Source organism: Homo sapiens, chromosome X (assembly GCF_000001405.40).
Source record: "Homo sapiens chromosome X, GRCh38.p14 Primary Assembly".
NCBI classification, from domain to species: domain Eukaryota; kingdom Metazoa; phylum Chordata; class Mammalia; order Primates; family Hominidae; genus Homo; species Homo sapiens.
The window spans coordinates 154,271,219-154,295,654 of record NC_000023.11 but is presented as its reverse complement, the minus strand read 5'-3'; the positions used below and the strand labels follow the sequence as shown (position 1 = coordinate 154,295,654).

General features: G+C 49.8%; 1 protein-coding gene across 5 annotated transcripts, besides 1 other annotated feature; it reads left to right on the top strand.

The window, feature by feature from the left end:
• Positions 168–669: an enhancer, noted in NCBI's record as "H3K4me1 hESC enhancer chrX:153523339-153523840 (GRCh37/hg19 assembly coordinates)". NCBI's record gives its function as "activates a minimal SCP1, AML or CMV promoter by ChIP-STARR-seq in primed H9 embryonic stem cells {active_cell/tissue: H9 hESC(primed)}" and the evidence as "EXISTENCE:reporter gene assay evidence [ECO:0000049][PMID:30033119]".
• On the top strand, positions 444–24,390 carry TEX28 (testis expressed 28). 5 transcript variants are annotated; one of them, XM_011531118.3, is made up of 6 exons: positions 444–521; positions 3,450–3,549; positions 5,835–5,924; positions 7,248–7,975; positions 23,129–23,264; positions 23,884–24,390. In XM_011531118.3, the coding sequence occupies exons 3-6, from the start codon at positions 5,904–5,906 to the stop codon at positions 24,238–24,240; spliced, it is 1,242 nt and encodes a 413-aa protein (XP_011529420.1). In that variant the 5' UTR covers positions 444–521; positions 3,450–3,549; positions 5,835–5,903; the 3' UTR covers positions 24,241–24,390. The 5 variants fall into 5 exon arrangements, with proteins under 5 accessions (XP_011529420.1, NP_001192130.1, XP_011529419.1 ...); XM_011531117.1 differs by lacking the exon at positions 444–521 and adding an exon at positions 531–625; NM_001205201.2 differs by lacking the exon at positions 5,835–5,924.
• The last annotated feature ends 46 nt before the right edge of the window (positions 24,391–24,436 follow it).

Genomic DNA, 24,436 nt, shown 5'->3' with positions numbered 1-24,436 from the left:
GCATGTGCACAGTTATTGAAAATAGTCCCATTCTCATCTTCTCTCCTGCAATCTCAAAAGGGCTCCCTCCGCGCGGGTGCAGGGTCTTCTTTCTCTGCACAAAAAGTTCCGGCACTAGCTGTGTGGTGCCGCACGTGTCAGGGGGTGGTGCCGCACGTGTCAGGGGGTGGTGCCGCACGTGTCAGGGGGTGGTGCCGCACGTGTCAGGGGGTGGTGCCGCACGTGTCAGGGGGTGGTGCTGCACGTGGGACGTGCAGCTGCAACCGTAAAGGTGGGGGAGGGAGGGAGCTGCTGTGGCGCAATTTTTTGTTTCGTGATAAATGGTCACCCCTCCCCCACAACAGCCCAGGCTATGGCGGGCAGGGTGGGGGTGGGGCAGTGCTCAGGGTTCTGAGACGGTTGGCGCCTGCGCCAGCCTCCTTTCCTTTTTTAAAACATTCTATGAGGCAAGCCCCGTGTGATTGTTGAGGAGGAGTTAGCCCATTGCCAGCCTGTGACGTGACTGACTCGAATGAACCCTGGTAACTAGGGAATGTGCTCGCCCTGTGTCTGAAATGCCCCATGTCCGGTGGTGCCAGCACTAGCCCCCATGTCGGTCTCAGAGAACCTTCTCCCCACCTCTGAGGTGACCTACCGACCCAGAACTCGCATGGCTCCCAACGGCGCCAGCTCCACAGCGCCGTGCCCAAGTCCAGACATTCCGGATCCCAAGTGCTGTCTCTTGGTTCAAAAATGCCGAATTTCTACGTGAGCTCAAGTCAGGCCGCCTGGTCGCGCCACAGGCTGAATGCCCTTGGGTTCCCATGTTCTGCTGGGTTAAAGGGAATGTGTGTTTACATTTTTTTTTTTTTTGAGACGGAGTCTCGCCCTGTCGCCCAAGCTGGAGTGCAGTGGCTCGAACTTAGCTCGTTGCAACCTCTGCCTCCTGGCTTCAAGCGATTCTCCTGCCTCAGCCTCCTGAATAGCTGGGATTACAGGCATCCGCCACCACACCTGGCTAATTTTTTGTATTTTTAGTAGAGACGGGTTTTCACCATGTTGGCCAGGTTGGTCTCGAACTCCTGACCTCAGGTGATCTGCCCACCTCGGCCTCCCAAAGTGTTGGGATTACAGGTGTGAGCCACCATGCCAGGCGGTGGTGGGCACCTGTAATCCCAGCTAATGGGAATCTGAGGCAGGAGAATCACTTGAATCCGGGAAGCGGAGGTTGCAGTGAGCTGAGATGGCGCCACTGTACTCCAGCCTGGGCGACAGAGCAAGACTCCGTCTAAAAAAAAAAAAAAAGTGGCTGGGCACAGTGGCACACGCTCCTGTAATCCCAGCACTTTGGGAGGCCAAGGTGGGTGGATCACCTGAGGTCAGGAGTTCCTGACCAGCCTAACATGGAGACACCCCGTTTCTACTAAATACAAAAAAATTAGCTGGGTGTAGTGGCACATACCTGTACTCCCAGCTACTTGGGAGGCTGAGACAGGAGAATCGCTTGTACCTGGGAGGTCGAGGTTGCGGTGAGCCAAGATCGAGCCATTGCACTCCAGCCTGGGCAACAAGAGCAAAACTCTGTCTCAAGAAAAAAAATTTAACAGGCCACCTAATTGCGATTAAAAAAAAACCAAAACCCTGAATCTGTTTAGATTCCCACTTGCAGGGTATGTGACATCACCTTCTGCCACATTCTCGCCAGCCCTGGACATTGTTAGGCTTTTTAATTTTTGGCGTTCTGGTGGATGAGAAAATAGTATTTAATTGTTGCTTTTCGCTTACTATTCCCGGATCACCTTGCAATTACATGTTTTATTATACGTTTACTGTCTTTTGTTTTTCGTCGTCTGAGATGTCCGTGGCTACCCTTTAATGTCTTTATATTGGGTTATTTGCTCTTAGTTTACTGATTTGCAGTTCTTTATATATTGTGTTGATTAGCCCTTTATCTATCAGATATGTTTCAAGCCTTTTTTTTTCTTGTTTGCTTTTATTTATTTATTTTTTGAGATGGGGTCTCAGTCTGCCACCCTGGCTGGAGGGCAGTGGTGCGATCATGGCAGCCTCGACATCCCCGGGATCAAGCGATCCTCCCGTCTCAGCGTCCTGGGTAGCTGGGACTACAGGTGTGCACCACCACTCCAGGATAATTGTTGTATTAATTTTTTTTTTAATAGAGACGGGGTTTCGCCATGTTGCCCAGGCTGGTCTTGACCTCCTGAGCTCAAGAGATCCACCCACCTTGGCTTCCAAAGTGCTGGGATTACAGGCATGAGCCAGCACACCCAGCCCTTGTTTTTTTTTCTCCCCCTTTCTTTCTTTCTTTTTTGTTTTTGTTTTGATTAATCAAGTCCCATTTTTTTCTCCTCTTGGTTATTTGGATGTTATGTACATATGTAGCTTCTTTTCTAGTGATTACTTTTTTTTTTTTTTTTGAGACAATCTCACTCTTGTCAGTCAGGCTGGAGTGCAGTGGCGCAGTCTCGGCTCACTGCAACCTCCGTCTCCCCGGCTCAAGCAATTCTCCTGCCTCAGCCTCCCCAGTAGCTGGGATTACAGGTGTGTGCCACCATGCCCGGCTAATTTTTGTATTTTTAGTAGGGACAGTGTTTCGCAGTGTTGACCATGATGGTCTCAAACTCCTGACCTCAAGTGATCCACCCGCCTTGGCTTCCCAAAGTGCTGGGATTACAGCTGTGAGCCACCACGCCCGGCCCGGCCCCCCCCCCCCGCTCTTTTTTTTTTGAGACAAGGTCTCACTCTGTCACCCAGGTTGGAGGGCAGTAGCACAGTCACAGGTCACTGCAGCCTCTACTTGCTGGGCACAAGTAATCCTCCTGCCTCAGCATCCTGAGTAGCTGGGACCACAGGTGCACACCACTGCCCTGGCAAGACTTGCTTTTTAAACAGTTGTTGAATTCTTACATTTGTCAGTGGTGTACTGAACTCCTTCATGTCTAAAAATGTCTTTAGTCTAACCCCACAGTTGACAGTTGGGGTGTAGAATTTTAGGCTGGGAAATCATTTTTCCCTCAGAATTTCGAAAGCAGCACTTCATTGTCTTTTTTTTTTTTTTTTTTTTTTTTTTTTTGGGACAGAGTCTTGCTCTGTCGCCCAGGCTGGAGTACAGGGGAGTGATCCTCGGCTCACTGCAACCTCTTGGGTTCAAGCGATTCTCTTGCCTCAGCCTCCCGAGTAGCTGGGATTACAGGCGCCCACCACAATGCTGGCTAATTTTTGTATTTTTAGTAGAGACAGAGTTTCCTCATGTTGGCCAGCCTGGTCTCAAACTCTTGACTTCAAGTGATCCGCCTGCCTGGGCTTCCCAGAGTGCTGAGATTACAGGTGTGAGCCACCGTGCCCGGCCAGCACTTCATTGTCTTCTAGTTCCCCATGCTGTTGCTGAAGTCTGAAGCCATTCTGACTTCTGATTCTTTGAATGTGACCTATTTTTTTCTCTCTGACAGTTATTCTCTCAGTGTATCGAAGATATCAGTCAACTATCTTCTGGATTGCATTGATGCTATTGAGAAGGCAGCCTGCAGTCTAAAAGTCATGGTTTTAAAGGTAATCAGCTTTTTTTCCTCTGGCTGCTTTTAACATCTTGTGTCGGCCGCGGGCGGTGGCTCATGCTTGTAATCCCAGCACTTTGGGAGGCCGAGGTGGGCGGATCATTTGAGGTCAGGAGTTCCAGACCAGCCTGGCCAACATGGTGAAACACTGTCTCTACTAAAAATACAAAAATTAGCTGGGCATGGTGGCGGGCGCCTGTAGTACCAGCTACTTGGGAGGCTGACGCAGGAGAATCGCTTGAACCCGGGAGGCAGAGGTTGCAGTGAGCCGAGATCACGCCACTGTACTCCAGCCTGGGCGACAAGAGCGAAACACTGTTTCAAAAAAAAAAAAAAAAAAAAAAATCTCGTGTCTAGGTGTGGACCTATTTCTGTCTTCCCTGCTTAGGATTTATTGGGCTTCTTGAATTTGTGAATTTGTGTCTTTCTTCAGTTCTGGAAAGTTCTTAGGGAGTTATCTCTTAAAATGTTGCTGCTGTGGCCGGTCGTAGTGGCTCATGCCTGTAATCCCAGCACTTTGGGAGGCCGAGGTGGGTGGGTCACCTGATGTTGAGAGTTCGAGAACAGTCTTGCCAACATGATGAAACCCCATCTCTACTAAAAATACAAAAGAATTAGCTAGCTGTGATGGCACGCGCCTGTAGTCCCAGCTACTCGGGAGGCTGAGGCACGAGAAGTGCTTGAACCCGGGCAGCAGAGGTCGGCCGTGAGCCGAGATTGTGCCACGGCACTCCGCCTAGGCAACAGAGTGTGACTCCATTTCAATTTAAAAAAAAAAGAAGAAAAATATGTATATATTGCTGCTGCTTCATTCTGTCTGTCTTCTCTCTCTGGTGTGACAATTGGATTTTTGTTAGACCTACTCATGCTACCTTCCATGTCTTCTATTTTTCAAGTTTTCTATTTTTTTGTGCCTCTGTGCTGCATTCTGGATACTTTTTTTTCTTTCTTTCTTTTCTCTTTCTCTCTCTCTCTCTCTCTCTCTCTCTCTCTTTCTTTCTTGGGATGGAGTTTTGCTCTTGTTGCCCAGGTTGGAGTGCAGTGGCGTGATCTCGGCTCACTGCAACCTCTGCCTCCTGGGTTCAAGCCATTCTCCTGCCTCAGCCTCCCAAGTAGCTGGGATTACAGGTGCCCACCACCATGCCCAGTTAATTTTTTGTATTTTTTAGTAGAGACAGGGTTTCACCATGTTGGTCAGGTTAGCCTCAAACTCCTGACGTCAGGTGATCCACCCGCCTTGGCCTCCCAAAATGCTGGGATTACAGGCGTGTGAGCCACCGCGCCCGGCCTGGATACTTTCTTTAGCTCCTCTGTACAATTTACCAACAGTCTCTCCAGCCATATCAAATCTGCCATTAAATCCATCAATTGAACATATTATTATTTATTATTTATTTATTTTTTGAGACGGAGTCTCACTCTACCACCCAGGCTGGAGTGCAGTGGCACGATCTCAGCTCACTGCAACTTCTGCACCCCGGGTTCAAGCGGTTCTCCTGCCTCAGCCTCCCGAGTAGCTGGGACTACAGGCGTGTGCCACCACGCCTGGCTAATTTTGTATTTCTAGTAGAGATGGGGTTTCTCTGTGTTGGTCAGGCTGGTCTTGAACTCCCGACCTCAGGTGATCCGCCCGCCTCGGCCTCCCAAAGTGCTGGAAGTACAGGTGTGAACCACTGTGCCAGGCATTTTTTTTTTTTTTTTTGTATTTTGTATAGACGGGGTTTCACCATGTTGGCCAGACTGGTCTTGACCTCCTGACCTCCGCCCGCCTCGGCCTCCCAAAGTGCTGGGATTACAGGCATGAGCCACCACACCTGGCCTATATTGAACATTTAAATAGTTTGAAAACTGTGAAATCTGGCATATGTATATAAAGGTGCAGAAAACATTGATGTATGTTTTAAGAAGTAACGATAAGGTGAACACACATTTAACCACTACTCAGGCCAGGCACCCCAGCCTCCACAGTCACCCCAGTCATAATCCCCTTCTCCCGCTCTAGTGGGAACCACCATCCTGGGGTTTCTGTTGCCAACATCCATGCTGCTCTTTAGCTTTCCTGCCTGTGTAGTCATCCCTACACAATATTGTTTAGTTTTGCCTGCTCTTGGAATTTATGTAAATGGAACCATATATAGTATGGATTTTCTGTCTGGTTTCTTTTGTTCAACATTATGCTTGTGAAATGCATTCATGTTTTTCAAGGCTGTAGTTCATTCTCATTGCTGTACAGTAGTATGTTGTTGCATATATTACAGTTTACTTACACTTTCTGGGCAGGTGGTTTGTTGCTAGTTGTTGGATATTGAGAACATCAGTGTACTTGCCTCCTGGGAATATCGCCTATGAATGCAGTTGCTGGATCATTTGGTAGGTATATCTTCAACTTTGTGATACTGTCAAGTGGTTTTCTAAGGTGGCTGTAGTACAAATTTGCTTCCCGCCAGTAATGATTGAGAGTTCCTGTTGCGCTATATCCTTGCCAACTCTTATTGTTGTTAGTCTGTCTGAGTTTGACCAATCTACTGGGTACATAGTGGTATCACTTTGCATTTTAAAAATTGAGGTATAGGCCAGATGCAGTGGCTCACACCGGTAATCCCAGCACTCTTTGGGAGGCCGAGGCGGGAGGATCACTTGAGGTCAGGAGTTGGAAACCAGCCTGGTCAACATGGTGAAACCCTGTCTCTACTAATAATACACGAATTAGCTGGGTGTGGTGATGCACACCTGTAATCCCAGCTACTCGGGAGGCTGAGCCATGAGAATTGCTTAAACCCGGGAGGCGAAGGTTGTAGTGAGCCGAGATTGCACCACTGCACTCCAGCCTGGGTGACAGAGTGAGACTCCGTCTCAAAAAACAAAAAAGTAGAAACGGAACAGAGGCTGCACCTGAGCTGCCCCCCACCTCCCTCTCCTAGCTCCTTGCTCTGGTGGGCTGGGTTCCAGCTATGCTGCTCTTGCCATCTTTATTTTAGAGGTAAGAAAACTGAGCCTCAGAGCAGTTTATTAACTTGCTCAAGGTCTCAGAGTGGTAGAGCCAGGATTTGAACTGGGCTCTTCGTCAAAGGCAATGTTAATCCCCTCACCATGTGAGAGACTCATTCTTTTGTGTTACAGTAGAATTTTCTGCCGTAGACTGTCAGCTGTATGAGATCAAGGAATGTATCTGGCTTCTGTACCACGTGGTAGGCACTCAGAGAAAGTATGTGTTGAATGAATGATTGGATGAATGAATGAACCTGTTAGGAGGCAAATCTCTCTGCCTAACCCTTCCTGTCTCCCTGGGAGTAGCAATACAGCAAGCTGTAAGAGTTGACGGAAATAAGCTTATTCCATACTTTACAAGAACAGTTCTTTATAAATGAGACCCACAATTGGTAATTTTTGGAAGAGAAAATAGGAGTGCAGTGCAAAAACAGGCAGATGTAGAAGGGAGTCTGGCCACCTGTGGGTCTTAGTGAGGCACACATGTAGAGCAAGGAGTCAGACGCTGAAAAGGAGGGGAGAGGGGCCCTGAAGATGAGCATCACCTCCTCAGTCTGTGTCGGGCCCATCTTGAATGCACAAATCTTGCGTGTGTAAGTATCCATGCATATGTGGAAGTGTTTTATGGAGTCATAACGTGTCCAATTCTCCCACACTTTGCGGCTCACAGAGCACCGTATTGTGATTTCTTGTTTCCCAACGTAGGCGGAACACACCAGGAGCCCCAGCGCAACCCTCCCCTCCAATGTGCCTTCATGCCGGTCCCTGTCATCCAGCGAAGACGGCCCCAGTGGCCCTTCCAGCCTCGCAGATGGAGGCCTAGCCCACAACTTACAGGATAGTGTCAGGCACCGCATCCTCTACCTCTCAGAGCAGCTGAGAGTGGAGAAGGCCAGTCGGGATGGCAACACTGTGAGCTACCTCAAGCTGGTATCCAAAGCAGACCGGCACCAGGTGCCGCACATCCAGCAGGCCTTTGAGAAGGTGAACCAGCGCGCCTCTGCCACCATCGCCCAGATCGAGCACAGGCTCCACCAGTGTCACCAGCAGCTCCAGGAGCTGGAGGAAGGCTGCAGGCCCGAGGGCTTACTGCTGATGGCAGAAAGCGACCCAGCCAACTGCGAGCCACCCAGTGAGAAGGCCCTGCTTTCAGAGCCCCCCGAGCCAGGTGGGGAAGACGGGCCGGTCAACCTGCCTCATGCCAGCAGGCCCTTCATCTTGGAGAGTCGCTTCCAGAGCTTACAGCAGGGGACGTGCTTAGAGACAGAGGATGTGGCCCAGCAACAAAACCTGCTGTTGCAGAAGGTAAAGGCAGAGCTGGAAGAAGCCAAGAGGTTCCACATCAGCCTCCAGGAGTCCTATCACAGCCTAAAGGAGAGGTCTCTGACTGACCTGCAGCTGTTGCTGGAGTCCCTTCAGGAGGAGAAGTGTAGGTGAGGCCTTGGCTCTGGGGACTGGAAGCAGAGGAGGAACCGCTCCCAGGAGCCACCTATGGGAGGGTGAAAGGGAGCCAGGACAGGAGCCTGGAGAGCCAGGGTGAGGGGCCAGTTGGAAGAGCAGGTCCATGCTTCTTTTAGCGACTGGGCCCTGCAGTGGGGCGAGCCAGCCCTCTCCCTGCAGTCCCACACCTGCCTTGACCCTTGCTAGCGAAAATGCTCCAGCTTGGCAGCCCCTGCCGGGTGGTTGCAGCGGCATAGCGGCTGGCCCTGACCCTGTGGTGGCAGGGGACAACATGGGGGTGGCAAGAGTCCGGTAGACACCTGGCACTAGTTAGGGAGGTGGCGTCCTTTGGTCCCAGTCGGCTGGGAAGGTGGGAGTCAGGACCGGAGTCGCCTCGCCAGCTCTGGTCTCTTCACATGTGCTCCTAGCTGAGCTGGGGCACAGGCCGGGTCTCAGATACTTATTTCAAAAATGACTGCCTTCTGGTGAATGCTTTCTCCGCACCGTGCAGTAGCTCGATTTTCTTTTTCTTTTTTTTCTTTTGAGATGGAGTCTCACTCTGTCGCCAGACTGGAGTGCAGTGGCACGATCTCGGCCCACTGCAACCTCCACCTCCCGGGTTCAAGCGATTCTCCTGCCTCAGCCTCCCGAGTAGCTGGGAATACAGGCGTGCACCAGCACATCCGGCTATTTTTTGTATTTTTAGTACAGGCGGGGTTTCACCATGTTGACCAGGATGGTCTCAATCTATTGACCTCGTGATCCGCCTGCCTCAGCCTCCCAGAGTGCCGGGATTACTGGTGTGAGCCACCTCACCCTGCCCTAGCTCGATTTTCTTTCCCTCTAAGATAAGGCTAGGGCCTACCAATTGGAGGAAAAAAAAAAAAAAAAAAAAAAAGGCAAACCCAATCTCTCAACGGATTCTCTCCATTCCTATTGGGACCGTTCTCTGGGTTTCCATGGGCCCTCAGGGGGTGCCACATTCTGTCCCCCTCGCTGCAGTCTGTGGCTAATTAACGCCAGTCCCTCCAGCGTCCTGGCTAGGGAGGCAGCGATTCCCTTAGGTGAGCCAAGATTCTCAGCATTTGCATGAAAAGAAGAACTCCGCAGTCCTTTTAGTGCCTGATGCAGGGGAAGCGGCGTGTGGGAATCATCCTCTTTAGTTTCCCCAGGGAAATCTTGCCAGCGTTTACATGGCCTAAGAATCTGTTAAAGGACAATCAAAGAATATTACAGGGCAACCACTGTCAATGAGATGACTAGTCAGAGTCACAGGCGTCTCTTGCAGATTATTTTCATAGGACATGGCAACCAAATCTAAAATCTTGGGAGCATCAAAGACCCTTTTGTGAAAATCACACTTACCCGGTCAGCTTTCTATTAAGCAACAGCAGAACTTGGTGGCAGTTACAAACTTCCCCGTATGTTTCCAAGCCACAGGGGCCAATGAGAATGCTGTGCTCAGGTAAACTCTTAACCCCTCTCAAATCCGAGTCTTTCGCCCGCTCTTGATACAGCGGTGACTACCGGGGAGCAGGGCAATACCTCTGTCTCTCCCCCTCTCAGACTTTTGCTGCAAATTCTAGAAGCCTGCACTTCTGACCCGGTACCCCCCATTGGACTGTGACATGGGATGTCTGGTTGTTTGCTGCAGCAGCGAGCCTACCCTTACTAATGTTCATCGTGAGCAGAAAAGCAGGTCTACAGGGCCCAAGCAGGTCTACAGGAGGAGAAAGGGCTGCTGATGATTTTTCACTGTTGTCACGGGCTCGTAACTGAGCTGGGGCACCAGGTTAAGCAGCCTTGTTCTTTGGCCCTCAGACGCCTACTTTATGGTTGGGGAAGCAGAGTCTCACGGAGGCACAAGCAGGCTACGTGGCTGCTAAGTGCGGACCTGAGAGCATTTCACCACACCCTGGCTGTGTGGCTAAGTTAGATGCAGGGGACACAGGAGTTCATGGCATTTTAAAAACATATACTTCCGTAAAATCTTCTTCAAAACTTTTACATGATCTGGACACAGAAGTGTTTCAACCAGCCAGGCTCCCTGTGACTGTTGCGTCCCCTCTGGTGCATCACAAACTGAGAATCCATACTGCAAGTCCTGTGCTGTTTATCACAGTTAAATCCGTTTGCTTTCAGGAGGGCTGTTGTGGTTTTTATCATTATGGTTTCTTTTTAATTTGGTCTCGGCATGTCTCTACTGAGAGTGGCCATAGCCGAGATACCCAGTTTCTAGGAGATCCCTGACCCGTGGGAAAGTTAGGTTCGGATGTGTGTGTCAGGGGAGCCACAGTGAGGAGGCAGACGAAAATGCATGAAACAGCAGAAATGGGCTGGGCGTGGGGGCTCACGCCTGTAATCCTAGCACTTTGGGAGGTTGAGGTGGGCAGACTGCTTGAGCTCAGGAGTTTGAGACCAGCCTGGGCAACATAGTGAGACCCGGTATCTACAAAAACATCAAAAAATTAGCTGGGCGTGATGGCGCGTGCCTGTAGTCACAGCTACTCAGGAGGCTGAGCGGGAGCGGGGATCCCTTGAGCCCGGGAGGTTGAGGCTGCAGTGAGTCATGATTGCACCACTGCACTCCATTCTGGGTGACAGAGCAAGACCCTGTGTCAAAAAAAAAAAAAAAAAAAAAGAAATGTATGACTCAGATCGAAGAGATGTTAGGTGTGCTGATGGGAGGCAGAGGGGAAGTCTGGAGGCAGCAGGGAGCTGATTGAGCTCATCAGCTGTGCAACAGCGAAGCCCAGAACGGAAGGGCGGGGAAGCTTCCGGGGCTGTGCCTGTATTAAGGTCACAGGGTGTGAAGTGATCCCACAGGCTTTCCTGCGGGGGTTGTGGATTGGCTGGTTTAAAGAAAACATGCACGAGGAGGAAACTGATTTACATGACTCTGGTGTTGAGCATTAGGTCTTATCGTGGTCAGCAGCCGTGGGATGTGTTGGGTTTTGGGTCAGTGAGGCGAGGACCACGTGGGCTATGTCGCAAACAATCACATGACAGGGAGGGAGGGGTGTTATCTAGGGCAAAGGTGACAGGGTACAACTGCTAAAGTTGGATGCTGAGGCAGCAACTGTATTAAACGCATTTATGACAAGGGCTTACTTAAAAAAATTGATGTAGAATTCACATAATTTCACGTAATGTGAAATTAACCATTTGGAAGCATGTAATTCAGTGCATTAAGTACATCTGCAGTGTGGTTCAACCATCACCTCTGTCCGGTTGTCTAACATTCTCATCACCCCAGAAGGAGACCTCCAGACTCACTACACGGTCACTCCTAGCCTCGGCTCCAGGCGTTCCCTAATCTGCTTTCTGTCTCCGTGGGTTTGCCTCTTCTGGACTTTTCATATAAATGGGACCATACGATATGTGGGCTTTTGTGTCTAGCTCCTTTCACTGTTTTCAAGGTTCACTAATGTTGTAGCACGTATCAGTACTTCATTCTCTTGACGGCTGACTAATATTCCAGTGCATGGGTAGACCACATTTTGTTTATCTGTCCATCAGTGGATGGAGATTTGAGTTGTTTCCACCTTTTGGCTATTGTGAGAAGCCCTGCGCTGAACACTCAGATACATGCCAGTTGTTTGAACACCAGTTTTCAATTCTTTGGGGTCTATAATCAGGAGTAGAATTGCTGGACCCCGTGGTGACTCCAGGTGTAGCGTTTAGAGGAGTCTTCCCACAGCAGCCGCGCAGCTCCATCTTCCCACCAGCAATGCAGAAGGCTTCCAGTTGCCTCACATCCTTGCCAACATTTGTTGTTATCCTTTTTTTTTTTTTCCAACAGATGTAACTGTGAAGTGGTATCTCATTATGAGGGCTGGCTTTCTTTTTTATTTTTCCTGAGTCTTTGGATAGGCAAAAGTTCTTTCTTTCTTTCTTTCTTTCTTCTTTTTCTTTTTCTCTCTTTCTTTCCATCTCTCTCTCTCTTTCTTTCTTTTTCTTTCTCTCTTTCTCTTTCTTCCTTTCTCTCTGTCTCTCTCTCTCTCTCTCTATCTCTCTTTCTTTCTTTCTTTTTCTTCAGGGTCTCTGTTGCCCAGGCTGCATGCAGTCATAGTTCACTACAGCCTTGAACTCCCGGGCTCAAGCGATCTTCCTGCCTCAGCCTCCCGAGTAGCTGGGAGTACAAAGCATGTGCCACCATGCCTGGCTAACTTTTTAAAAATTATTATTATTTGTAGAGATGGGATCTTGCTATGTTGCCCAGGCTGGTCTTGAACACCTGGCCACGGCCTCCCCAAGTACTGGGGTTACAGATGTGAGCCACTGTGCCTGGACAGTTCTTACTTTTTAATGCATTTTTTAATTGATTGTGGTAAAAAAAAAAAAACCCACAATATATTCTTTTTGATTCTGCGACGTGCAGGGTCTCTATCACAGCAACAATTAGACTCAGGAGGCTTGGGGCTGGCCCTGGGGTCTCCTCCTTCATGAGGTCTGGGTTTGTAGGTCCTTGCAGAGGACGTTCCTGGGTCCTGGAAGGACTGTGACTGCTTCCGCTGGAGTTGCTTGAGGCCCCTGGTAACTCTCCTCTCTGTGTGCTGAGGAGAAGCACGGGCGTCGCGAACTTGATGATTCTGGATGGAAGGGTCTTTGCCAAGCTTCCCTTTCTTTCTTGTGGAAATAGGAGGAGCTTCAGATCTCCGAGAAGATGCACAGTGAGCGGCCTACCTCCTCAGCACAAGCCAGTCTCCTGGGGGACCAGAAGGCCCCGGTCCCTCAGTTTCTTCGTGGGTCAGGAGGAAAGAAGGCTTGAGAAACTCAGAAAATGTTCATTGGTAGAAGAGATGGCACCCCAGGAAGGCATGGGGAGCCTTCAAGTAAAAGTCTCGACTGGCCAGGTCTCATCTGGGCACCTTGCATGCAGAGTTGCAGGAGGCCCCCTCTAGCCTCCTAATGAGCCAGGGGGCTCTGGGAGGGTCTTGGGGGTCCTTCCCCATCTCTTACAGGATGCGCAGCTGACTTCTGCTTGATGGTGAAAGGCAGTCAGGTTTCAGTCTTGGCCCCGTAGACAGGGCATGGACAAGTCCTGGAGTTGGGGGTATGGTGCCAGCAAAACCATCTTTACTCTCTGGGGTCCATAGCCAGTCCCAGCCTGCCCAGCCCCACCCTCCTCCTTCACCTTTGTAGCCCGAGTGGTCAATGCCTGGGGTAGATGGGTTGCTGGGACATCTTTGTTCTTTGTTGGATGAGTAAAATGGTCCTGGGAGAAAACCCGACTGTGAGGAGCACATTGCTTCTTTTTTTTGTCTTTTTTATGAGATGGAGTCTCACTCTGTCCCCCAGGCTGGAGTGCAGTGGCACGATCTCGGCCCACTGCAACCTCCACCTCCCGGGTTCAAGCGATTCTCCTGCCTCAGCCTCCCGAGTAGCTGGGATTACAGGCACACGCCAGCATGCCTGGCTACTTTTTGTATTTTTCAGTAGAGATGGGGTTTCGCCATGTTGACCAGGGGTCTCGAACTCCTGACCTGAAGCGATCCACCCGCCTCGGCCTCCCAAAGTGCTGGAGTTACAGGTGTGAGCCACCACACCTGGCTGGAGGACATTGCTTCTTGCCCCATTTCTAGTTCCCTAGACCTGCCTTGGCATCAACTCATTGAAGGCTCCACTTGGTGACAAGGAACCGGCTTATTTGGAAACAGGGTCGTTGCGGACGTGATGAGTTAGATCTGGATGAGGTCATTCTGCAGAGGGGTGGGCCCTAATGCAGTGTGACCTGTGTCCTGACAGAAAGGGGAGACGGAGACACGGACACACCCAGAGGGAGAGCGCCGTGTGGAGACAGAGGCTGAGGCCGACCTGCCGTGGCAGAAGCCAAGGAAGCCCGCAGGTGGGCAGCAGAGCAGAAGCTGGGACAGAGGCCCCGAGTGGAGGCGCCTTCTCGGTCCTCGGCAGGAGCCCGCCCAGCCTGGGCCTTCCTCTCGGACTGCTGGACCCCCAGCCAGGAGAGAGGCCATCTCTGCTGGGAAAGCCACTCAAAGTTTGTAACGCTTTGTGATGGCAGCCAGAGGAAACTCCCACACTCAGCTTGTCCTTTAGGCTCTGCTCTGATGTCCTCTCCTCAAAGGGACTTCCCAGGCTACCACGTTCAAATGGCCTCTTCTTTTATTCTTTTGGAAGCGGGGTTTTTTGAAGTAAAGTTTTTGTTTTTTTGTTTTTTTTAGATGGAGTTTTGCTCTTGTTGCCCAGACCGGAGTGCAATGGCGCAATCTCGGCTCACTGCAACCTCCGCCTCCTGAGTTCAAGCGATTCTCCTGCGTCAGCCTCCCGAGTAGCTGGGATTACAGGCAGGCACCACCACGCCTGGCTAATTTTGTAATTTTAGTAGAGATGGGGTTTCTCCATGTTGGTCAGGCTGGTCTCGAACTCCTGTCCTCAGGCGATCCACCTGCCTCGGCCTCCCAAAGTGCTGGGATTACAGGAGTGAGCCACCGCGCCTGGCCTTTTTGAGGTAAATTTTATGCAGTGAAATTGCATTTAAGTTTAGGCATACAGTTTAACGAGTTTTGACAAAGGTTTACACCTGGGCAGCTAAAATCCCAATAAAGAGCTTTGCCACCACCCCAGAAAGTACCCTCATACCCTCTTCCAGTGAATGCCCGTCTCCCATAATTGGCCACTGTTCCGGTTTCTGTCACTCTAGCTTCATCTCCTTTTGAACTTCACGTAAGTGGAATCGCACGGCACGCAGTGCTTTGTGTCTGGCGGCTTTCGCTCCGTGGAATTGTTTTGAGATCCACCCAAGCTGTGTGAAGTGAGTAGCTCATGGCTTCGTATTGCTTGGCAGCCTTCCATTGCATGGAGACGCCGCAGGTTGCTTATGCCCTGGTCCGCTGCCAGTTGGGGCGACTGAATAAAGCTGCTATGAACGTTCTCGCACAAGTCTTTCTGTGAACATATGCTTTCATATATGGAATTGCTAGATAACAGGGAAGTGTTATGTGTCTTAGTCCCACTTTCTGTTGCTGTAACAGAGTACCGCAGGCTGGGTGGTTTATAAAGAAAGGAAGTTCAATGTCAAGGCGCTGGCAGCTGGTGAGGACCTTTGTACGGCATCATCCTATGGCGGAAGGCAGAAGGGCAAGAGGGCGTGAGAGAGCGAGCGGGGGCCAAACTTTCATGATAACAATATTAATATTAATCGCCTCTTACCAGTCCCACCCCTTAACACCATCACATGGCCATTAAATTTCAACACGAGTTTTGGGGGGGACATGTACCCCATAGCAGTATGCTTAACTTTTTAAGAAAGAGGAAGGCCGGGCGCGGTGGCTCACCCCTGTAATCCCAGCACTTTGGGAGGCTGAGGCAGGCGGATCACCTGAGGTCGGGAGTTCGAGACCAGCCTGAACAACATGGAGTAAACCCTGTCTCTACTAAAAATACAAAATTAGCCCGGCGTGGTGGCACATGCCTGTAATCCCAGCTACTCGGGAGGCTGACGCAGGAGAATCGCTTGAACTCAGGAGGCGGAGGTTGCGGTGAGCCGAGATCGTGCCATTGCACTCCAGCCTGGGCAACGAGTGAAACTCCATCTCAAAAAAAAAAAAAAGAGGAACTGTTTTCCGACATGGCTATACCATTTTACAGTCCCGCTAGGAGTGTATAAGAGTTCCAGTTGCCAACGTTTGGCAAGATCAGTCTTTTAAATGTCAGCCTCTTAAGTTCAGCCACAACTTGGTGAAATTAGACTCCAAAATTTCATCACCCTAGCCCATGTTCTCTCGACCTTGGCACTGTCGACATTTTGGACCGAATGATTCTCTGTTGTGCGGGGCTGTCCTGTACATTCTAGGATGATGAGCAGCATCCCTGGTCTCCACTTACTTGATGCCAGTGGTGCCGTGAATTAATTGATGCTGCCGTGACAAATTGCCCCCAACTTCATGGCTTAAAATAATAGAAAGTTATTCTCTCGCAGTCCTGGAGGCTAGAAGGCCGAAATCCGTTTCACTGGGCTGAAATCAGGCGAGGAGGACACACACTCATTGGAGGCTCTAGGGGACAAACTGATCTTTGCCTCTTCCAGTTTCTGGTGGCTGCCAAATTCCTTAATTTTGTGGCCACATCATTCCTGTCCTGAAGGCCAGCATCTTCAAACCTGTGTTCTGTCTTCACATGACATTCTCGTCTGTGTGTGTCTAATGTCCTTCTGCCTCTCTCTCATACATGTGATTGCATTTAGGGCCACCAGGATAATCTAGGATAATCTTTGCATCTCAATACCCTTAAACTCACCACTTCTGGAAAGCCCCCTTTTTTGGTCATAGAAGGTAACATTCACAGTTTCCAAGGATTATGACACAGATATCTTTTGCGGAGGGGCTTTTTGTTTTTTTCTTTTTTAGACAGAGTCTCTCTCTGTCACCCAGGCTGGAGTGCAGTGGCACGATCTTGGCTCACTGCAACCTCCGCCTCCTGGGTTCAAGCAATTCTCCTGCCTCAGCCTCCCAAGTAGCTGGGACTACAAGCGCGTGCCACCACACCCAGCTAATTTTTTTGTATTTTTCATAGAGACGGGGTTTCACCCTGTTGCTCAGGGTGTTCTTGAACTCCTGAGCCCAGGTAATCTGCCCACCACAGCCTCACAAAGTGCTGGGGTTACAGATGTGAGCCACCGTGCCCAGCCTAGGGGGGCAATTTTAGCCTACCGTGCCCCACCTATTTGTAACAACCAGAAATGTCTGTCCAGAGATTGCCAAATGTCCCTTGTTTGGGGAGGGGGGGGCCGGCAAATTGCCCCTGGTTGAGAACCAGTATCCTAGCCCATGAGACTAGTGGGTGTGTGACCCTGCCTCTGACGATTAATGATGCTGAACCCCTTTTCATGTGCTTATCAGCCAATAAGTCTTTGGCTTGTTTTCAACTTGGATTGTCTTTTTATTGTTGAGTTGTCAGAGCTCTTTATATACTCCGGACCAGTCTTTGTCACTCCCCTACTTTTTCCTTTCTCGCAGCACTCACCGCCTAAACTGCTCTCCCTTGTGTAGGTATTCATTTGTGTTGTATTGTTCTCGTCAAAATATCAGCACATTCAGGTCGGCCACTGTGTCTGAGTGACTGCCCAAAGACATGTTGGCACATGATGGCTGTTCTGTGAGTACCTGTTTCATGGATCAGTCTGGATGCTGCTTTTCCTCCCTTCCTGAAGGGACCCAGCTCGCCCTCTGGGCTGCCTCCCTCCTCCATGTATGTCAGAACTCTATCTGCTGTGTCTTGGGAACATCAGGGCAGGGCCAGGAGGGCTGATTCTGGATTTAGGCCTGGCCCAGCCTCCTCTCTGCAAGGTATTTACTGAATGACCTTGGACGAGGTGCTTCAAGTTTGCAATCCTCAGTTTCCACATCTGTAACATGGAGGTAAAAATGATCCCACTATTGTTGGAACTGTTGTGAGAATTAATTAATACTTGTGTGTAAGCCCCAAGTAGATGCTGATGGAACTGAATTTACAATTCCTTTCTGCTTCCTATGTGCAAACTAAGTCCTTGAAAGATCGTAAAGAAAAATGGGGCCAGATGTGGTGGCTTATGGCTGTAATCCCAGTGCTTTGGGAGGTCGAGGCAGGAGGATTGCTTCAGCCCAGGAGTCTGAGACCAGCTTGGGTAACAAAGTGAGACCATATCTCTGCAAAAAATTTTAAAAGTGTTAACCGGACTTGGTGGCACATGCCTGTAGTCCCTGCTACATGGGAGGCTGAGACAGGAGGATCGCTTGAGCCCGAGAGTTTTATGTTGCAGTGAACTATGATTGTGCCACTGTGCTCCAGCCTGGGTGATAGAGGACAGAGTGAGAACTTGTCTCAAAAAAAAAAACAGAAAGAGAGAGAGAGAGAGAGGAGAGAGAGAGAGAGGAGAGAGAGAGAGAGAGAGAGAGAGAGAGGGAGAGAGAGAGAGAGAGAGAGAGAGAGAGAGAGAGAGAGAGAAAGAAAAAGAGAAAGAAAGAAAGAAAGAAAGAAAGAAAGAAAGAAAGTTGTTAATGGCTTTTTTTTTTTTTTGAGGTGGTGTCTTGCTCTGCTGCCCAGGCTGGAGGGAGTGCAGTGGCTTGATCTCAGCTCACTGCAACCTCTGCGTCCCGGATTCAAGTGATTCTCCTGTCTCAGCCTCCTGAGTAGCTGAGATTACAGGCATGCACCACCACGCCCAGCTAATTTTTGCATATTTTAGTAGAGACGGGGTTTCACCGTGTTGGCCAGGATGGTCTCGATCTCCTGACCTCGTGATCCGCCCGCCTCGGCCTCCCAAAGTGCTGGGATTACAGGCATGACTGCAGCCGGCCAATGTCTTGGAACTATTAATAGCCATGGTGGTTGCACAACACCACATGTGCTAAATGCCGCTGAATTGTTCACCTTAAAATAATTCATTTTATGTTACATGAAATTTACCTCAATAAAAATTGAATAAAAAAGAAGCTACTCAGGTGCCGAGTAGGCAAAACTTTCACTCTTGCTTTGTATTTCTGGCTGTATCCACAAGTGGGCAGTCGTGAAATTTTCTTATAGCCTCCTGTCATATTGAAAACGCCCGGAAGTGAATATGCCAGGTCTCCATGTTTTTCTTTCCCTCCTGGACACGAGGTCCTTGGGGGCATCCAGACCCTAGCTCCTCTGTCCCAAGACTGTTCTGGTATGTTTCGCTTTCAGACGAGGCTTGGAGATAACAGGCTATGGTTCCTAGAGGCTTCAGTGTTGCTCTGTGACCTCTCAGCCCCAGGGATCCAGCCTCGGGCTGACTTTCCTCAAGGTATCTGCTTAGGGCTTTGTTGCAGGCTGGGGTCGTGTTAACTTCCATTTTTTCCCCGACTTCTCCTCCATGTCACAGCATCCTGCATCTTGGGATCTCTGAGGAGGTCTGACCTAAGGTCTGATCTGCTCTCTGAACTGGTTCCTCTCATCCCTATTGCGTTGAAGCAAAGCACAGACATTATATCAGTTCATCTGTAAATATTTCAGTGTGAACCTGAAATATGGATCATTTTGTTAACATAGCCTAAATACCATACCAAAAATGTTTTAAAACAAGTCCACAATGTTAAATATGCAGTCACTGTCACCTTATTGCCTCACACATGCCATCATTCCTTTTTATTTCTGAAGGAATTCTTTTTTTTTTTTTTGTGAGACAGAGCCTCACCCTGTCACCCAGGTTGGAGTGCAATGGTGAGATCTCGGCTCGCTGCAACCTCTGCCTCCCAGGTTCAAGCGATTCCCCTGCCTCAGCCTCCTCAGTAGCTGGGATTACAGGCATGTGCCACCACGCCCGGCTAGTTTTTGTATTTTTAGTAGAGACGGGGTTTCACCATGTTGGCCAGGCTGGTCTTGAACTCCTGACCTCGTGATCTGCCTGCCTCGGCCTCCCAAAGTGCTGGGATTACAGGCGTGAGCCACCACACCCGGCCCTGAAGGATATTTTTTGCTGGACATAGAATTCTAAGTTGGCACTTAATTTTTGGAAATAATAAGCATTTTGAACAAATCATTCCCTTCTGACTTCCATGGTTTCTGTTGAAAAGGCAGCTGCCAGTCTTCTTGTTGCTCCTCGGATCACAGTTTTGTTTTCCTCAGGCTCCTTTTAAGATCTTTTGTTTTTCTTTGTTGTTTAGTGGTTTTGCTATGATGATGTTTGGCGTGATTTTCTTTCTCTCTTCTTTTTTGTGCCGCTGACTCTCCCCTTGGTGTGATTTTCTTTGCATTCATCCTGCTTGGGCTTCGCATTGCTACTTGGGTTTATGGCTTGATGTCTTTTGTCAGTTTTGGACGTTTTCAGCCATTATATTTTCAAATAGTGACTCTGCCCTAGTCTCTCATTTTTCCCCTTCTAAGGCCCCAGTTACATGTATGTTCAACCTTTCCACTGTATCCCTACATCCTCTGGGTTCCTGTGTGAGCCGTCCTGGCGAATTTCCTCCTGCTTTCGCTTCTGTTTTGTTGGCTCTTCCCCCAGCTCCCCAGGGCCCCTTGCTTTGGCACATTTGCTCAGAGTGAGCTCATCCATCCTGGCCACATGCACCGATTGCACCTGGGCTATTGACCCCTCCTACAGCTGTTTCTCCGTCTCAGACTTTTCCTCCAAGTTGTGGGCCATGATTAGGCTCTAGCTCAATTTGCCAAAAGCAAATTCTCAGAAATGACCAAGAATATACTCTTTCTGGCTGGGCCCAATGGCTCACACCTGTAATCCCAGCACTTTGGGAGGCCGAGGCAGGCGGGTCACCTGAGGTCAGGAGTTGGAGACCAGCCTGGCCAACATGGTGAAACCCTGTCTCTACTAAAAATACAAAAAATTAGCCCGGCATGATGGCGCATACCTGTAGTCCCAGCTACTCAGGAGGCCGAGGCAGGAAAATCACTTGAACCCGGGAGGCGGAGGTTGCAGCAAGCCAAGATCGTGCCACTGCACTCCAGCCTGGGCAAATAGAAGGAGATCCGTCTCAAAAAAAAAAAACAACAACACTATTTTGAAAAAAACAATAAAGTTTAGAACACTTTGTGTTGGAGAGGGTGGTCTTAACACCTTCGGTCTGTCTTGAGGGTGTCTGGGTTGACTGGTCATCGTTTTGTGTTCATAAGAGCATTCTCCAGAGTTGTCCATTTGCTTCTGTGACTGTAGGAGGTGGAGAGAGGGGGGTCCTTGACCAAGGAAGAGAAGGGAGCGCGGCTGCCAGAGGGCCAGGAGATGGGGGCCAGAGAGAAGGGGAGACTGAGAGAATATCCTTATGAAAATATTGTTTACTGACATCTGAAGAGACTCTTCAAGAATGCACTGAAGAATATCTTCATGTATCTTTACCAATACATTGATGAAGATTGACTTCATATTCCTGAGGACAGTTAAAATCTTGAATGTTCTCACAGCTAGATCATTCATGTAAATGGAAAGACAGTAATGAGGAATCTATTTTCGGGGTGACCATCCTGCCGACCCACTCCCCCTCTCTGTGAGCAGTGGCCTAGTCCATGTTGTCCACCGACTCTCTTCTTAACAGGGACCTGGGGCAGAGACAAATGGAATATTCCTTGAAATGCTGCGAGGAACCAGCTTTTGACAAATTGGCTTTCAACAAATGAGCTGTCAGCTTATTCAGTGCCCGGGGGATTTCTCCGTGTGGGTGTTGGTCAAGTCCTTGGAGTGGGACCGAATAGAAGTCGTCACTGTTTTCCCCGTCTCTGTCAGCACCACCGTTTAGACCTCCTGCACCTGAGGCCTGCCGCCACCCTCCTGGGCCTCCTGGGGCGGCAGCCCTGCCAGTCTATGGGTTCCATCACGCTCTGGTGCCTTCTCTCTTCTACGTAAGCGGTGGTGCCAGAGCCCCCTCACTGGCCCCCTGGCCTCTGTCCTTCTGGCCCGTTCTTTGTGGTGCCAAAAGGGGAACTTCATAGAAGTTTTTAAATTATGAAGTATTTCAAGCAAAGGGAAAATGTAAGGATAACATAATTAACAGCCCCAGCTTTCTGAAATCTTAACATTTGCCATATTCACTTCAAATCTTATTTTTTTAGGAAATAAAACTTTAAAATATTCTGTTGAAGCCCTCATTACCCCTTTCCAGCACCATCTCCCTTCCTTGCTATTCTGGCCTTGCTATACTGGCCTCACCATTCTCATTTGGGTGCTTATCTTTTCCATGCATGGTTTTATACTTTTACTACTTATATAATTATATACACAACAGGTAGTGATTGTTTTCTTTTAGAGATAGGGTCTCACTCTGCTGCCCAGGCTGGAGTGCAGTGGCGTGATGGCAGCTCACTGCAGCCTCGAACTCCCGGACTCAAGAGGTCCTCCTGCCTCAGCCTCCAGAGTAGCTGAGACTACAGGCACGTGCCACCACACCCAGATAATTAAAAATTTTTTTTGTAGAGACAGGGTCTCACTGTGTTGCCCAGGCTGGTGTTGAATTCCTCCTGGCCTCAAACAATCCCCTTGCCTTGGCCTCCCAAAGCGCTGGGATTGCAACTGTGAACCACTGCGCCTGGCCTGCTTGTGGTTTTTTAACAGCTCTATTGAGATATAATTTACATATTATAAAATGCACCATTTTAACTACATTTCAATGGTTTTTAGTAAATTTACTGAGTTGCGCAACTATTGCCATGATTCACTTTTCTCTTTTTGTTTAAATAACGGCTCTATTGAGATATAATTCACATCCCATAAAATTCACCAATTTAAAGTGTACAATTCACTGGTTTTTCGTATAGTCACAGAGTTGTTCAACCATCACCACTATCTAATTCCACAATATTCTCTTTTTTTTTTTTTTGAGACGGAGTCTCGCTCTGTCGCCCAGGCTGGAGTGCAGTGGTGTGAACTCTGCTCACCGCAAGCTCCGCCTCCCGGGTTCACGCCATTCTCCTGCCTCCGCCTCCCGAGTAGCTGGGACTACAGGCGTCCGCCACCACGCCCGGCTAATTTTTTTTGTATTTTTAGTACAGACGGGGTTTCACCGTGTCAGCCAGGATGGTCTCGATCTCCTGACCTCATGATCCGCCCGCCTTGGCCTCCCAAAGTGCTGGGATTACAGGCGTGAGCCACCGTGCCCGGTCCTACAATATTTTCACCAGCCCCAAAGCAACCCTGTACTCATTAGCAGCCACTGCCCATCCCCCACCCCCAGCCCCTGGCACCCACTAATCTGCTTTCTGTCTCTATGGATTTGCCTATTCTGGACATTTCGTAACTAATGGAATTGTACTGGAATCTGTGGTCTTTTGTGGCTTTTCAATCCTTATAGTCACCATGTTTCTATAGAGTAACTGCAGGCTAAACTGCAGGCTAGACTTCGTGCTCAACACTGGTCCTGGGGGATTTGCGGAACTGAAGAGCACACACAGATAGTTCACACTGTCATTTCTACAACTTCTAGTCTGTGGCTATTTTTGTAAAGCTGTTACAAAAGAGTAACTACATATAAAATATATATGAATATTGGTGTGCGTGTGGCTGGTGTGTGTTTGGGGTGTTCCCAGGCAGACCTGGAGTGGGAGGCAGGCTTTCCCTAGAGCCTGGGGAGCGGGGAGGAAGGCAGAAGCTGAACCCGAATCTAGTCTAGGTCAGGACCGCTCGCTGTTGGCATGAGCTCTGGATGAGGTACTGAAGGAATCTCACTTTCTCTTTTGCTCCCAAGGCAAGCATTGATGGAAGAACAGGTGAATGGTCGCCTGCAGGGACAGCTGAATGAGATTTACAACCTCAAACACAATCTGGCCTGCAGCGAAGAGAGAATGGCCTATCTATCCTATGAGAGAGCCAAGGAAATATGGGTGAGAACCTCCTGGGGGAGCCTTGCAAGAAGACTGGAGGGATGAGCGAATCTATTCTGATACCCCCAAACCAAAGCAAGACACGGGTCCTCGAGCTGCCCCCTCCTGAGGGTTCGATGGCCACACACATTTGTTTCAGAGCTAGCAGCATCTGATCTTTACACTCACGCTCCGCTTCCCACCATCTGGCTTAGCTGCTTTTGCCACTCTGGTGCTGCAGTGCTCACCCGTGAGCCTCTGACTCGGGAGATCTGGGGTGGAGCTGCTTCTGCTGCGGCTGCAGGTGTAGGGAGCGCCCTCTCAGAACCCCTCCTTAGACCTGGCTTCCCTCTCCTCACTTTTCCATTCCCATAGCGCCCACCCCCGTCCCTGGGTAGCTGTGTCTTGACCAGGTCCTCAGCTTCGGGAGACAGTGGATGGGGGAGTGCAGCCGGGTCAGATGAAGCTTTCCCTGTTGCTGGAGAGCCTGCGCCCTCCCCTCTGCCCTGAATGTGCTCTAGGCTCTCTGCTTCCCTCCTCGAATACCCACTCCACAGTGCTTTCTGCTCACCCCTAAGAACTCAATAAACGACCACAACTCTGTGCTGACTTCTGGTGCGTGCATTTTCGTCTCCTGCAGGAGATCACGGAGACCTTCAAGAGCCGAATATCCAAGCTGGAGATGCTACAGCAAGTCACCCAACTGGAGGCAGCGGAGCACCTCCAAAGCCGTCCCCCGCAGATGTTGTTCAAGTTCCTGAGTCCGCGCCTCTCACTGGCAACCGTCCTCTTGGTCTTTGTCTCCACCTTGTGTGCCTGCCCCTCGTCACTGATCAGCTCACGCCTGTGCACCTGCACCATGCTGATGCTGATCGGGCTTGGGGTCCTGGCCTGGCAGAGGTGGCGCGCCATCCCTGCCACAGACTGGCAGGAATGGGTCCCCTCCAGGTGTAGACTGTACTCCAAGGACTCTGGGCCTCCAGCAGATGGACCTTAAGGGGCCAGGAGGGCCACCTGCCTTAGCTTGCTAGCTCCCTCCCTCCTCCTGGGTGCTGAGGGCATCCAGCAAGCCCCTCCACAGCTCTTGCTTGCCGATTATGTAACCACCAGCCTGGTGAAATGGATATAGACGCCCACCTGCCTCACACTTCTGTTTTGCCAGGATCCTTTCACGCCATCGGTAGACATGAGGC